We start from the raw sequence: 16,190 nt of genomic DNA on the forward strand, positions 1-16,190 counted from the left end.
TCCCTCCTTCTCCCCATGGCAGCTTACTGCTATGTGGTTTGAATTTAGTGGGAAAAACAGTTAATTGCGGGCAATGGTAAACTTGATGTACCAAGAAATTCAATTCAGCATTTATTGAGCAAGTACAAGGCCCATGCAAGAAACTTTTTATTTTGAGACAGGTTCTCACCCTGTCATCCAGGCTGTAGTGCAGTGACTGGATCGCGGCTCACGGCCACCTGGAACTTCTGAACTCAGGCACTCCTTCTGCCTTGGCTTCTCAAGTAGCTGGGACTACAGGTGCATGCCCAGCAATTTTTTGTTCTTGTGGAGATAGGGTTGCCCTATGTCGCCCAGGCTGTTTATAAGATCCTCCTGCCTTGGCCTCCTAAAATGCTGGGATGCGTGAGCCACTGTACCTGGCCAGTGAATCTTTCATAATTTTTGTCCTATGGACTAAGATCCTCAAAATTATACACAAAGTAGTACTTTCTAAAAAGTTTTGAAAGACTGGCTTTTTGAAAACAAAAATCAATTTTTATGTTGTGGTGCTTCCAAACACCAAAAGGGAGTTGGCATGATGATTAGGAAAGTTGTTTTATCAAATTATGCTGTTTATAAATGTAACCAGAATTTAAATACAATACAAGGAGTATATACATGCTACTCACTTCTGAATAGACAAGATCCAGTTCTCTGACCACCAAAATAGGTAAGATCCCTTTAATATATACTCATATACAGGCCAGGTGCAGTGGCTAACACCTGTAATCCCAACACTTTGGGAGGCTGAGGCAGGCAGATCACTTGAGGTCAGGAGTTCAAGACCAGCCTGGGCAACATGGTGAAACTCCGTCTCTACTAAAAAATACAAAAATTAACCAGGTGTGGTCATGCATACCTGTAATCCCAGCTACTCGGGAGGCTGAGGCAGGAGAATCACTTGAACCTGGAGGTGGAGGTTGCAGTGAGCCGAGATCGTGCCACTGCACTCCAGCCTGGGTGACAGAGTGAGTGAGACTCTGCTTGAAAAAATAAAAAAGACTTCATATACAACAAGGCCCTTTCTTTCATGACATTTACACATTTTCTAACTTTGCTTTTATTTGATTACTTGTATTTCCCAATGACCTATAGGATTCAGATGGTAAACACTAGGGCCTTTTTTTTTTTTTTTTAACTCTCAGAGGCCCATAGTAGACACTCAATGAATTCTTGTTGAGTAGATAAATGATTATAACCCAAAATCTAGCCATCCTATTGCATAAACCTCATATTCAAAAGAGTAACGAGCTTGAAGGGGAGGGTACTGGGTTAGGTTTGTGGTCAATAAAACATTCCTTCTTCCATTTTAAACATTAAATAATAAGCTCTGTGTTTGTTTTTTTGTTGTTGTTTTTGTTTGTTTGTTTGAGACGGAGTTTCACTCTTGTTGCCCGGGCTGGAGTGCAATGACACAATCTTGGCTCACCACAACCTCTGCCTCCTGGGTTCAAGCGATTCTCCTGCCTCAGCGTCCTGAGTAGCTGGGATTACAGGCATGCACCACCACACCTGGCTGATTTTTTTGTATTTTTAGTAGAGACGGCGTTTCTCCATGTTGGTCAGGCTGGTCTTGAACTCCCGACCTCAGGTGATCCGCCCGCCTTGGCCTCCCAAAGTGCTGGGATTACAGGTGTGAGCCACTGCGCCCGGCAGGCTCTGTGTTTTGATGCTTTGTGGGTTTTAGCAATAAATAAATGCACTGAAAGACATCAAGCTTCATCAGTCTTTCATGTCTCCATTCCTTTCTTTTTTTGTTTTGTTTTTTTTTTTTTGGAGCCTGAGTCTCGCTCTGTCGCCCAGGCTGGAGTGCAGTGGCGCAATCTTGGCTCACTTCTTCCTCCGTCTCCCAGGATCAAGTGATTCTCCCGAATCAGCCTCCCGAGTAGCTGGGATTACAGGCACCCACCACCACGCAGGGCTAATTTTTGTATTTTCAGCAGATATGGGGTTTTGCCATGTTGGCTAGGCTGGTCTCAAACTCCTGACCTCAGGTGATCTGCCTGCCTCAGCCTCCCAAAGTGCTGGGATTACAGGCATGAGCCACTGTGCCTGGGCCCTCCATTCTTTTTTTCTTTTCTTTCTTTTTTTTTTTTTTTTGAGACAGGGTCTTACTCTGTCACCCAGGCTGGAGTGCATTGGCGTGACCTTGGCTCACTGCAACCTCTGCCTCCCGGGTTCAAGAGATTCTTGTGCCTCAAATTCCTGAATAGTTGGGATTACAGGGCGTGCCACCACGCCTGGCTACTTTTGTACTTTTAGTAGAGATGGGGTTTTACCATGTTGGCCAGGCTGGTCTCCAACTCCTGACCTCAAGAGATCCGCCCGCCTCTGCCTCCTAAAGTGCTGGGATTACAAGTGTGTGCCATTCTATTCTATTATTCAAATTAATCTGTCCTTGAGAAGCACTTAAAATTGTACATTGGCTAGTCTTTAATGAAGCAAGAAATAGAATTAAAATCTAAGGAGCACTGATAAGGGTCAGGTTGAATTGTTAGCTTTGTTAAGTGTGATTGTGTAGCATGCCAAAATACACTTAGAATATATTTATTCTTTTTTTTTTATTTTTTCATAGAGATGGGGGGTTTTACTATGTTGACTAGGCTGATCTCAAACTCCTGCTTTCAAGTAATCCTCCGATCTCGGCCTCCCAAAGTGCTGGGATTATAGGTGTGAGCCATGGCATCAGGCCTCAAATGAATATATATACATATACATACACACACACACACATTTCCCTCTTTTTTTTTAATTTTACTTTAAGTTCTGGGATACATGTGCAGAAAGTGCAGGTTTGTTACACAGGTATACATGTGCCATGGTGGTTTGCTGTACCTATCAACCCCCATGGTGGTTTGCTGCACCTATCAACCTGTCATCTAAGTTTTAAGCCCCACATGCATTAGATGTTTGTCCTAATGCTTTCCTTCCCCTTGCCCCCCACCCCCCGACAGGCCCTGATGTGTGATGTTCCCCTCCCTGCGTCCATGTGTTCTCATTGTTCAACTCCCACTTGTGAGTGAGAACATGTGGTGTTTGCTTTCTGTTCCTGTGTTAGTTTGCTAAGAATTATGGTTTCCAGCTTCATCCATGTCCCTGCAAAGGACATGAACTAATTCTTTTTTATGGTTGCATAGTATTCCATGGTGTATATGTGCCACATTTTCTTTATCCAGTCTCTCGTTGATGGGCATTTGGGTTGGTTCCAAGTCTTCGCTACGGTAAATAGTGCTGCAATAAACAAACATGTGCATGTGTCTTTATTCAAATGAATATTTAAAGAGCATATGCCCACTCATGTTCTGTTCTATTCTGTACATGTTACAGTATAATTTCAATTCTTTGAAAAGTTGGATAGAACAAAAATTTTAATAATCTTGCTTCATAAACAAAAGGTTATTAGATTTTGGTCAGAAGAGATGATAATTATAAATATCTATTTGAATATAAACTCTCTTTGATTCTGAAATTCCCAATGTTTTTGATATGCTGAATAATTTTATATGACAGACATCATTTGATTTAAAGTCTAACCTGGAATCATATTGTATATTATTAACCTGACACCTCCCTCACATTTAGGACCAGTATATTTACGTTTTATTGGATGTTAATTCCAGGCAACTCTCCTAGTGGTATGATAAAGAAATACTCAGAAGGTATTTTTGCAGATTCTTTCCTCTGCCAGTTTTCCCTTATTCAGTGTCACAGGATACATCTAAATTATGTCAGACCAAAACTAAGGCTACCTAAGCCAAATCAGGGAGCAGTTTGGAAATGTGTGCCAGTCATTTGAAGGATGCCCCTGGCAGGAGAGAACTTTAGAACTGGAAGATATTTTAGAGATCATGTAATGATAGAAGGCTCCCATTTTAAATGGGCTAAAACTGAGGCTATGACAGGTCAACTCACTCTTTCCAAAGATAATCAGTAATCTGGTAATGCAAGTCTTACTTTCAGAAGACCCTTACAAGAATCATACAGGGCTGGGCGTGGTGGCTCACGCCTGTAATTCCAGCATATTGGGAGGCCAAGGCAGGCAGATCACGAGGTCAGGAGTTTGAGACCAGCCTGGCCAACATAGTAAAACCCCGTCTCTACTAAAAATTCAAAAATTAGCCAGGTGTGGTGGCACAGGCCTGTAATCCCAGCTACTTAGGAGGCTGAGGCAGAATTGTTTGAACCCAGGAGGCAGAAGTTGCAGTGAGCCTAGTCCAGAAGTTGCACCACTGGACTCCAGCCTGGGTGACAGAGTGAGACTCCGTCTCAAAAAAAAAAAAAAAAAAAAGAATTATACAGTAAGTCAGTACCATATCAATATTTGGAGCACAGGGTTTTATACCATAAATCTATTATTTTCATTCAGATAAATCCTCCTCTTTCTTCTTTTTGGGGAATCTTTTAAAAAATTTTTAATTTAATTTGAAGTTCCAGGATACATGTGCAGGACGTGCAGGTTTGTTACATAGGTAAACGTGTGTGCCATGGTGGTGTGCTGAACCTATCAACTTATCACCTAGGTATTAAGCTCTGCATGCATTAGCTATTTATCCTGATCTGGTAATCTTTTGAGTCTGTAAGTTTTCTCATTCCAGTAACCTCTGCTGTTCCTGAGATAGTGCAAGATTCTAGTATTTTCTTCTATTAAAAAATTTTTTTTTTGAGACGGAGTCTAACTCTGTCACCCAGGCTGGAGTGTAGTGGCATGATCTTGGCTCACTGCAACCTCTGCTTCCTGGGTTGGAGCAATTCTCCTGCCTCAGCCTCCCGAGTAGCTGGGATTACAAGTGTGTGCCACCATGCCCGGCTAATTTTTGTATTTTTAGTAGAGACGGGGTTTGGCCATGGTCTTGAACTTTGGCTGGTCTTGAACTCCTGACCTCAGGTGATCCACCCACCTCGGCCTCCCAGAGTGCTGGGATTACAGGCATGAGCCACTGCGCCCGGCCTAAAACGTTTTTTTTTTTTTTTTTTTTTTTTTTTTTTTTTTTTTTTACCACTTTACCAACGTGCCAAATAATAGTGCATATATGCAGTATAATACATTTCATATCTGCACCTACTTCAAAGTGTATTCTGCCCTTTGGGATAAGCCAAAGGTGAGCTAATATCTGCACATGATTTGTTTTGCTCAGATTCTCTTTGAAAACTTGTAGATTTGATGGGTGTTGTGAGTAAAGAAGACGGACATCTCTTCGATACCCGTATTTCCCTCCTAAATTGGTAATGCTGTGGTGACATATTCAAGGTATGTGAAGGATTCTTAAACAGAATATAAAGGCTTGCCCTGGGCCCCATAACCCTGTGAGAATAAAAGTCCCTTTGTAAGTGGGTCTGAATAGCTTCTAGCTTCTAGGATGTTCTGTGCATTAGAATGCTTACAAGCTTTGGCCCCCTAAGTGGTTACACCGATGACCACCCTATCATGCTGGGTTCCGTGGTGAACTGAGAGATGCCATTACCTTTCACCGCCCTTGGCCGGACACTCACGGTGGGCCTAACTCCGGTGGTAATTCCATCCCTCACTGCGGGACCTTGACATCCCCGAGCTGAAGCCCACTTCCTCCCTGACCTCTGGAGCCCAGCTGAGCGGCTCCGAGAGCTCTGCCATGACTCCTAACCGGGTGGACAGGGGGGCCGGGCAGCCGCGGCGCACACGCTGGGCGTCGTCCCTAGCAGCAGAGGAGACCAGAAGGTGAGAGTCCCCATGCCGCAGCCGGAGGGCCGGGGTGGGCTTGCACCGCTATCGCGAGAGCTCGTGAGGTGGGGGCGGCGGGGAGCTGGGGAGGGGCTCGCGGAGAGCCTGCCCCGCCTCCCTTTCCTTCCCCTCCCCTGGAGTGATTCAAGACGAGCGCTACCCACTTCCGCCCCCTCCCCCTGCCATTGGAACTAGCTGAGCCGAACTAGTTGCGGCCACCGAGCAGCCGGCTCTCGGCACCTCCTCCTCCGCCTCCCTGTCTCCTGTTCCATTCGCCTTTCCTCTTCTTTCCTGGCCCACGCCGCTCCGAGGCCTCGCGACCGCCGAGCCTGCAGCCTGCCCCGCGGCCAACATGAGCTTCTTGTTGTGAGTAGCCAGGCCCCGCACGCGCCGGCTTTGTTCGGGTGGACCTGGGCCCCCGCCCGCCGCCCGCCGCCCGTCGCCCGCCCTCGTCCCGACCCTCCTGGCCCAGCGCTCCCGGGGCCCGGCGTCACCACCAAGCGGGGCCCCGGGACTGCGCGGAGCGCTCGGACTACCTAACCGCCGCCTCCCCATAGGGCTTCGAGTACTCGTGGGCTCCTGCAGCCCTGAGGAGGTTCTTCCCCCCCGGCACACCCCGGGGCCAGCGCCTGGATTCCTTCATCACCCCCGTCTCTGCCTTCGCTCGCATTCCCGGGCTTGTTTGTGCGCTTCTCGTGGGTATCTCCCACTCGCCTGCACAATCCGTATCCAAGCGGTGCTCGGTTGAATGGCTCCGTCGCGGCTGCCCATTGCTCTTTTCTGGGTCCCAAGCACAGAAGATAAGACTGTCGTACTTTCCCCTGTCATCCCAGGACCCTTTTAACTTCCTCTCTCGTCTTAGGGCTGGGAAGTTGGGATGACAAGTTCTGTAGATGTAACACTGAAACAAGGCTACTTGCGGGTCGGGATCCCTTGGACACAGACGGGGGTCCCTGAGAAAGGGGTCTGGAGCCGCCCCCTTGCTTCCTAGAGGCGCCCTTCCTCCCAGAGGACTTCCCTGAAGAGGATGAGTTTTATCTTTTTAGACAACCAGCAAATAGGTTTTGGATAGTGTGCCCTGCCTAGGTTGATTAGGTCCACTGGGGAGTTGTTTTGAAAATCATTTGTAAATGCCAACTTTGGCGTCATGTTTAGTGCTGGTCATTATTTCACTTACTTATCGTTTGTTCCAGACGAGTGGAGGGGAACGTGGAGGGGGAAGGGCAGAAGGATGGGATGGCCAGATGTGGATATGGAGGCAGTAGATAAGCCTCAGGTCCTCTGAAAACAGGGGTTACAGCCTGAGGAATAACTCCTTTGAAGGCTTCGTTGTGATGCACTCATTCCATGTTTAGTCTGTGTTTAGAAAACTAATAAAAAACTTAGAAGTTGAAACTCACCCATATACTGTTTTACTGTTGTGGAGAAATTAGCATTTAAAGGATATTTTCTTAAGATTTCTCTTCTTTCCTTGCCTAATAATTTTTAGTCATTACATTGACGTCTGAATACTGAGAATTTAATTCACTCTTATTTTCACATGCTCACATCTAGAATTTTTTTTTTTAGGGTGTTTAAGCAAAACTGAACAAGGCTGACCTAGGGGCAGACTTGATATTTCCAATATGCATAGGGGACCTGGCTTGTGTCAACTTGCCTAAAACCTTTAAACGGAAAGGGATTTCTTAGGCTCCTCCTAGAAGTTGATTCTGAGTTTGTCGGATTGGCATAGGGCTAGATGACAGGACTGGGTGATTTTATAAAAAAGTCCTTGTTTCTTATTTTAGTTCTTTTTTTTTTTTTTTTTTTTTTTTGAGACGGAGTCTCCGCTCTGTCACCAGGCTGGAGTGTGTAGTGGCGTGATCTCGGCTCACTGCAACCTCTGCCTCCCGGGTTCAAGCGATTCTCCTGCCTCAGCCTCCTGAGTAGCTGGGACTACAGGCCCGCGCCACCACGCCTGGCTAATTTTTGTATTTTTAATAGAGATGGGGGTTTCACCATGTTGGCCAGGCTGGTCTCGAACTCCTGATTTCAAGTGATCTGCCTGCCTTGATCTCCCAAAGTGCTGGGATTACAGACGTGAGCCCACCGTGCCTGGGCAGTTTCTTGTTTTAGTTCTAATCACCATATTCAGGTATCTCAACTTGAAGCTTCTCATCTTGAGCTTAATTTTACATTGCTAATGTTTGATTGTTTTCAAGAATTTAGAAGCTGTATTCAAAATAGCACTGTAGATGATATCCATGACTACTGCTGATGGGCTTGTGTCTAGTAAGCTAAATTGGTTAAAGCAAGGCCAGTCGCGGTGGCTCATGCCTGTAATCCCAGCACTTTGGGAGGCCAAGACAGGCAGATCACCAGGTCAGGAGTTCGAGATCAGCCTGGCCAATATGGTGAAACCCCGTCTCTACTAAAAATACAAAAATTAGCTGGGCAAGGTGGCACGCACCTGTAGTCCCAGCTACTTGGGAGGCTGAGACGGGAGTATCACTTGAACCCGGGAGGTAGAGGTTGAAGTGAGACGAGATCGCGCCACTGCACTCCAGCCTGGGTGGCAGAGTGAGACTCTGTCTCAAAAAAAAAAAAAAAAAAGGTTAAAGCAGGGAAGAGCCATATTTGGCTGAAACTAGGGGATGGAGAAGTTTCTGATGCTATTTTTTGAATACAAATACAGTAGAATCCTATTTTTACATGGCTCAGTATTTAATAGATTCAGATTTGTGGTGGATTAGTTTGTTTCTCCTGAAGGTTAGTAACTACAAAAGAAATCTTGCTGTAACTAATGTATATAGAACTTTAGAGCATTTGCACTATTTGGGGCACAATTTTTCAGTTAGGTTATATCTATCTAGCAGTTGATATATTCTCAACATATTTAGCCCATGTGCTTGACAATCAGAAAAGTTAATTCAACATTTTCAGTTTTGGTCTTTGTCTACCGTCAATTAAAAATCCAAAGTGAACACCACATGGAAATGATTATTATTGGAAGTGAAAGAACAAAGCTTTGGTTATTTCTTCTATTTGTTATTTGGTATAACTGTCTGAATACTGTTTCTTTTTTTTTTTTTGGAGACAGGATCTCACTCTGTCGACCAGGATGGAGTGCAGTGGCATGACCACAGCTAACTGTAGCTTTGACTTCCCAGGCTCAGGTGATCCTTTCATCTCAAACCCCCTCCCCGCTACAAGTAGCTGGTACTACAGGTATGCTCCACTATGCCTAGCTAATTTTTTTTTTTTCGGTAGAGTCAGGGTTTTGCCATGTTGCCCAGGCTGGTCTCCTGGGCTCAAACAATCCACTCATCTTTGCCTTCCAAGATGCTGAGGTTACAGGTGTGAGCCATTACACCTGGCTATCTGAATACTATTTCTGTACCAACAGATGAGCAGAGAAGGAAAGCGTTACAGCTTAGGAGTTAAATACAAATATTTTCCTCCCGTTCTTGGAAGCTTACTGGGAAGCCTACGATCAGTGGATGGAGCAGAGGAAATAAGGGCAATGCAAGATGGGGCTGCAAAGGTGGTGACTCATGACTCTTGAGGGCTCTAAGATAGAAGGAAAGAACTACTACTGATTTTTAAAAGATGCACTGTGGGCCGGGCACAGTGGCTCCTGCTTGTAATTCCAACACTTTGGGAGGCTGAGGTGAGTGGATCACTTGACCCCAGAGTTCCACACCAACCTGGACAACATGGCGAAACTCTCTTTCTACCCCTAAAAATACAAAAATTAGCCAGGTGTGGTGGTGTGAGCCTGTAGTCCCAGCTACTCTGGGGGCTGAGGTGGAAGGGTCATCTGAGCCTGAGGAAATTAAATACTTCAAGGCTGTGGTGAGATGTAATCATGCCACTGCACTCTAGCCTGGCTGATAGAGAGTGAGACTCTGTCTTAAAAAAAAAAGGCCGGTCGCGGGGCATAATGGCTCAGGCCTGTAATCCCAGCACTTTGGGAGGCCGAGGTGGGTGGATCACTTGAAGTCAGGAGTTTGAGACCAGCCTGATCAAGAAATGAAACCCCATGTCTACTAAAAATAAAAAAAATTAGCCGGGCGTGGTGGCGGATGCCTATAATCCCAGTTACATGGGAGACTGAGTAGGAGAATCACTTGAATCCGGGAGACAGAGGTTGCAGTGGGCCAAGATTGTGCCACTGCACTCCAGCCTGGACGACAGAGTGAGACCGTCTCAAAAAAAGAAAAAAAATCACTGTGCCTGGCACTGATGTGGATGTTGGGCACCATTTGTGACAAGAGAGAAAAAAATCCCTGCATTGGTGGGGCTTATGTTCTGGTAAGTGTCCGTAAATACTGAACATCAATAAATCATGTAGTATGGCGGAAGGTTGTAAGTGCCATGGAACAAAGGAGAGCAGGGTATAGAGATTTTTGGATAGGGAGTTGAGACAGATTAGGATAATCCCCAGAGTGGGTTCCCAGATCATCTGCAGGAATGATACCTTTGTGTAGCTTTTGTATAAATGCTCAGGATAAATTTGCACTGCATATGTGGGTTTGGCTGGGACAGAGCTTTGGTTGTGCCGCAGTTTGGCCTCTGTGTATCTTCAGATTAAGCTAAACTCTCATGGTAGATACGGAAACTTCACAGGGACCTCATTTAATTTTGTGGACTCAAATCTTTTAAACACATCCTTAGCACCTGCTGTGTGCCAGGCGTAGAGGAAGATAAGAGATTCCAGAGATGGTGGATGGTATATCGTCATCTATGATAGATGCAATACAATCATGGGGGCCCAAAGTATGTGTAGCAATTTGTTCTACTTAGGCTTTAGGAAAGTTTCATGAAAGAAGTGGGTGATAATTAATGGAAGGTGAACAAGAGCTCTCTAAGAAGACAAGGGGAAATGGGAGAGTACAGTCAGAGGAAACATCTTTGAGTCAAGAAATTGCCTGTGAATTGTTCACTTCCACGTTTGTGCAAGAGGCTGTAGAATTTTGGAGCTAGCAGGGGTCTATTAGTAACATGGCCTACTTACTTCTTTTTGCTAAAGGGGCAAAATCACCAACTTGAGGTTGGTGGCCCAATTATTGGCCTGGGGACAGTTGGAACTCAGGTCTCCTGACGTAGGTGTTTTTCCTTCCTGACATTTTGTGCATATAAAAGGCAGGGAAATTGAGGATAAAAGTGAGTTCTAAGTAATCATTCAAAAAGTATATTTCATGTTCTCTTAAGTTTCTAGCATTTTTAAATTATGGGTCTCTTTTGACTAATGGAATTCTGAAAAAAAAAAATTTGACTTGGAAAAGACCAAAGTGTAATTTCCTAATGTAAGGCTACTTATTTGGAACGGAGTTAAAACAAGTACATTTAATTTAACTTTTTCTTGTTAAGAGACAGGGTCACCGAGGACGGTGGTGGCTCATGCCTATAACCCCAGCACTTTGGGAGACTGAGGGGGTGGAACCTTGAGCCCAGGAGTTTGAGAACAGCCTGGGTAACATGGCAGAACCCCCATCTCTACCAAAAAACATTAGCCAGGTGTGGTGGCGCTCAGCTGCTTAGGAGGCTGAAGTGGGTGGATTGCTTGAACCCAGGAGGCAGAAATTGCAGTGAGCCAAGATTGCACCACTGCACTCCAGCCTGGGTGACAGAGTGAGACTCTGTCTTAAAAAATAATTTAAAAAGAGACTGGGTGTTACTGTGTTGCCCGGGCTGTCCTCAAACTTCTAGGCTCAAGCAGTCCTCCCACCTCAACCTCCAGAGTAGCTGGGATTATAGGTGCATGCTACCACGCCTGGCTACAGTTAACTTATAAATGAAAGTCTGTAGGAAAGGTGGTTTGGGAATGTGAATGACTAAACCATGTCTATTTCTTCGTTCTTTCTTTTTTTTTTTTTTGAGATGGAGTCTCGCTTTTTCGCCCAGGCTGGAGTCCAGTGGCGCGATCTCGGCTCACTGCAACCTCCACCTCCCGGGTTCACGCCATTCTCCTGCCTCAGCCTCTCGAGTAGCTGGGACTACAGGCACCCACCACCATGCCCGGCTACTTTTTTTTTGTATTTTTAGTAGAGACAGGGTTTCACCGTGTTAGTCAGGATGGTTTCAATCTCCTGACCTCGTGATCCGCCTGCCTCGGCCTCCCAAAGTGCTGGGATTACAGGCATGAGCCACTGTGCCCGGCCCTCTTTTTTTTTTTTTTTTAAATGTCAACAATGAAAGCTGAACTAGGTGTATTTCTGTATAGGAAGAAACAGATGGATTGGGAAAAGAAGGAAGAAAGGAAGGAAATACTTACTGAGCACTGTGCTACATACCTTCCATTTGTCATTCTTAAGATTAGCAATTTAGGCCGGGCACGGTGGCTCATGCCTGTAATCCCAGTAGTTTGGGAGGCTGAGGCGGGTGGATCACGAGGTCAGGAGTTTGAGACCAGCCTGGCCAACATGGTGAAACCCTGTCTTTACTAAAAATACAAAAAAATTAGTCAGACATGGTGGCATGTGCCTGTAGTCCCAGCTACTCGGGAGGCTGAGGCAGTGGAATTGCTTGAACCCGTGAGGTGGAGGTTGCAGTGAGCCGAGATCATGCCGCTGCACTCCAGCTTGGGCAACACAGTGAGACTTCGTCTTAAAAAAAAAAAAGATTAGCAATTTAGCAGCACTTTGGGAGGCTGAGGCGGGTGGATCATGAGGTCAGGAGTTCAAGACCAGCCTGGGCAACATGGTGAAACCCCGTCTCTACTAAAAATAGAAAAAAGTAGCTGGGCGTAGTGGCGGGCGCCTGTAATCCCAGCTACTCGGGAGGCTGAGGCAGGAAAATTGTTTGAACCTGGGAGGCGGAGGTTGCAGTGAGCCGAGATTGTGCCATTGCACTCTAGTCTGGGCGACAGAGTGAGACTCCATCTCAAAAAAAAAAAAAAAAATTAGCAATTTAGGAAAAGAGACTCATGATAGTGCAATGTTTGTGTCTGTCTCTGTTTCTCTCTAGACTCTTGATGGTGCTATGTTTATATGTGTCTGTCTCTTTCTCTCTAGACTCATGATAGTGCTATGTTTATATGTGTCTATCTCTGTCTCCCTCTGTCTCTCTGTCCCTCACTTCCCCCCAAGCCCCCAAAGCCAGCATTTTGTTTTCAGGCAAATGATTTAACTGATTTTAATGCTTCAGCAGCCTCACCTTTAAAAAAAGTTAATAATTTATAAGAATAATCAAATAGGCCAGGTGTGGTAGCTCATGCCTGTAATCCCAGCACGTTGGGAGGCTGAGGCAGAAGGATGGCTTGAGCCAATTTGAGTTATAGTGAGCTATGCTTGTGCCAGTACACTCTAGCCTGGGCAACTGAGCAAGACCCTGCCTCTAAAAAGAAAACATTAAAAAAAAATAACAATAATAGTTCAATGAGTGTTTACTATGTGCCAGGGACAAAGTGTTTTAAATAGTTCAGTAATTAGCAGGAATCCTATTTTATACATAAGGAAACTAGCACAGAGAGGTTACATAATTTTATCAAAATCATGTGGCCAGTAAATAGTGTAGCTGGAATTTGAGTCCTGGAAGTCTAGGTCCAGAGATCCTGTCTTATACTTCTTTTTTTTTTTTGAGACGGAGTCTTGCTCTGCCACCCAGGCTGGAGTGCAGTGGCTCAATCTTGGTTCACTGCAACTTCCACCTCATGGGTTCAAGCAGTTCTCCCTGCCTCAGCCTCCTGAGTAGCTGGGATTACAGGTGCCCTTCACCATTACAGGTGTCCTCCACCATGCCTGGCTAATTTTTATATATTTAGTAGAGATGGGATTTTCACCATGTTGGCCAGGCTGGTCTCAAACTCCTGACCTCAGGTGCTCCTCCCACCTCGGCCTCCCAAAGTGCTGGGATTACAGGTATGAGCCACCACGCCCGGCCTTTTTTTTTTGGAGACAAAGTCTCACTCTGTCACGCAGACTGCAGTGTAGTGGCGCTATCTTGGCTCACTGCAAACTCTGCCTCCCAGGTTCAAGTGACTGTCCTGCCTCCGCCTGCTGAGTAGCTGGGACTACAGGCGTGTGCCACCATGCCCAGCTAATTTTTGTGTTTTTAGTAGAGATGGGGTTTTGCCGTGTTGGCCAGGCTGGTCTCGAACTCCTGGCCTCAAGCAATCTGCCTGCCTCGGCCTCCCAAAGCGCTGGGATTATAGGTGCTAGCCATTGCGCCCAGCTGATCCTGCCTTATACTATCATCTATAATTAACAAAATTATATCTATATATAGATATATATACACATACACATGCGTGTATATACATATATACACACATATGTATGTATATATGTGTGTATGTATATCTATATATATATTTTTTTCTTAAAGGTGATATTCAAGTGGGCCTTGTTATTAAGGGAAGTCTTATGTTACCAGGCATTATTGTCTCATGATGCTGGGACTCTCTTCTAAGATTCACCAAGAATACACTAGTAGAAGACGAAATAGTAACTTTTAAATTCATATAATATTTAAATATTTTTAACCTTTATCTTTAGTGTAAAAATAATATACATGTTGGAGAAATCACAAAATCATGTTAGGAAAAGGAAGAAAATAAAAATCACTCATAATCACACCTTCAGAGACAACTGTTGTTTGTATTTAGGGATAAAGTTCTGAATCTTTTTTTTTTTGTTTTTTGAGACAGAGCTTTGCTCTGTCACCCAGGTTGGAGTGCAGTGGCATGATCTCAGCTCACTGCAACCTCCGCCTCCTGGATTCAGCGTTTATCCTGCCTCAGCCTCCAGAATAGCTGGGACTACAGGTGCCCGCCACCACGCCTGGCTAATTTTTGTACTTTTAGTATGGATGGGGTTTCACCATATTGGCCAGGCTGTTCTGGAACTCCTGACCTTGTGATCCGCCCGCCTTGGCCTCCCAAAGTGCTGGGATTACAGGCGTGAGCCACCGCGCCCTGCTAACTTCTTCTGAATCTTTTTTATTGCATTTTTGTTTGTATGTATTTAAAAATATACAAATGGATTTCCACCGTGCGTAGACCAGGTTTTTTACTTGTAAATTTTTTTTTGCCAGAGAATAGATTTCTGCAACATCATTTTGAATGGCTGATGACCAAGTATTATCTTACAGTTTTTTATCTGACAACAAAAAAGGATATCAGATATTATATCCTTATAATATATTCTCCACTGTAAGGTTATTTTATTTTTTTCTTTTTGTTATTAAATATATAGAATTTAATATAACATTAAAAAGGATAACATCTTACATATATGTCATATATTATATCCTTATATATAATATATGTTATCCTTTTTAATATGTTGTATTTTTGAGGGAATGTGGGGAGTGGAAGTAAATATGGTCATCTTTTCAGAAAGAACTGTAGTTTTGGGAATTGCAGGACTGACTGGCTTTAGTTTACTTTTATCATGTTTAGAGATAGCTTTTTTTTCCTTTACATACTAGAGTGCAAAATAATTGCCATTTGGTTACTTTTACCATTATTGATTTCTTTCTCTAAGTGTAGTTGCAGTTTTTGTACTTTCGGAGTTTCTGATATATGAAAGCACGTGTCTAATACATGTAGCACTTCCCTAAACTGTGTATTTGATTAGGAGATATTGAGGCAAAATAGCTACATGTTACTTGAAAAATATGAAACAGTTCTACCTGTTAGGAATGTCAAACTGAGTCCTGTAGAGAACTTTAACTCTCCTTTTCTTCCTACGTTTCCATTTTTGTTTTATATTAACCAACTTAAGGCCATCTTTTTTTTTTTTTTTTTGAGACAGGGTCTCATTCTGTCTCCCAGGCTGGAGTGCAAAGGCACTATCTTGACTCACTGCAACCTCTGCCTCCTGGGTTCAAGTGATTCTCCAGCCTCAACCTCCCGAGTAGCTGGGACTACAGTCGCCTACCACCATGCTGAGCTAAGTTTTGTATTTTTAGTAGAGACAGGGTTTCACCATGTAGGCCAGGCTGGTCTTGAACTCCTGGTCTCAAGTGATCTACCTACCTCAGCCTCCCAAAGTGCTGGGATTACAGGCGTGAGCCACCGTGCCCAGCCTTAGGTCCATCTTTTACAACACATTTAATTAAGTATAAGTGTAGCTGTGAAGTAACATTCTTTTACAGAAGTGATTTTTAAATTAAATTTTTTTTTTTTTTGAGATGGAGTCTCACTCTGTCTCCCAGGCTGGAGTGCAGTGGTGCGATCTCTGCTCACTGCATTCTCTGCCTCCTGGGTTCAAGTAATTCACCTGCTTCAGCCTCCCAAGTAGCTGGGATTACAGGTGCCCGCCACCACACCCAGCTAATTTTTATATTCTTAGTAGAGATGGGGTTTCACCATGTTGACCAGGCTGGTCTCAACTTTGTCTTCAGGTGATCCACCGGCCTCAGCCTCCTAAAGTGCTGAGATTACAGGTGTGAGCCACCACGCCCGGCCTTAAATTTAATTTTGAAACATTTTTCAACTTCCAGGAAAGTTGCAAAGAACAGTGCAAAGAACTTCCACATATTCCTT

General features: G+C 44.5%; 1 protein-coding gene and 1 long non-coding RNA gene across 7 annotated transcripts in view, besides 2 other annotated features; one reads left to right on the forward strand and one right to left on the reverse strand.

Moving 5' to 3' along the window:
• Positions 1-2,754: 2,754 nt before the first annotated feature.
• Positions 2,755-5,766, reverse strand: LOC124900711 (uncharacterized). Its single transcript, XR_007058132.1, has 2 exons — positions 5,484-5,766; positions 2,755-3,252 (listed from the first exon to the last, which is right to left on the reverse strand). It is a non-coding gene; the product is annotated as an uncharacterized LOC124900711 (long non-coding RNA).
• The window catches only part of MOB1B (MOB kinase activator 1B), an 86,318-nt gene continuing 75,513 nt past the window's right edge, over positions 5,386-16,190 (forward strand). For 4 of the 6 annotated variants that reach the window (XM_005265709.3, NM_001244766.2, NM_173468.4 and 1 more), the window contains exon 1: positions 5,904-6,085. Coding sequence is in view for 4 of the 6 variants with exons in the window: in NM_173468.4 (NP_775739.1) it covers positions 6,072-6,085 (14 nt within the window). In the remaining 2 variants the exon portion in view is untranslated. Of the gene's footprint in view, positions 5,717-5,903; positions 6,086-8,331; positions 8,927-16,190 lie in introns of those variants that run through there. The other 2 variants (XM_011532412.3, XM_017008837.2) reach the window with 2 other exon arrangements.
• Positions 5,724-5,873: a silencer, noted in NCBI's record as "silent region_15472". NCBI's record gives its function as "represses an Ori minimal core promoter by ATAC-STARR-seq in GM12878 lymphoblastoid cells {active_cell/tissue: GM12878}" and the evidence as "EXISTENCE:reporter gene assay evidence [ECO:0000049][PMID:35858748]".
• Positions 6,184-6,233: a silencer, noted in NCBI's record as "silent region_15473". NCBI's record gives its function as "represses an Ori minimal core promoter by ATAC-STARR-seq in GM12878 lymphoblastoid cells {active_cell/tissue: GM12878}" and the evidence as "EXISTENCE:reporter gene assay evidence [ECO:0000049][PMID:35858748]".

This window comes from Homo sapiens, chromosome 4 (genome assembly GCF_000001405.40).
Source record: "Homo sapiens chromosome 4, GRCh38.p14 Primary Assembly".
Lineage (NCBI taxonomy): Eukaryota > Metazoa > Chordata > Mammalia > Primates > Hominidae > Homo > Homo sapiens.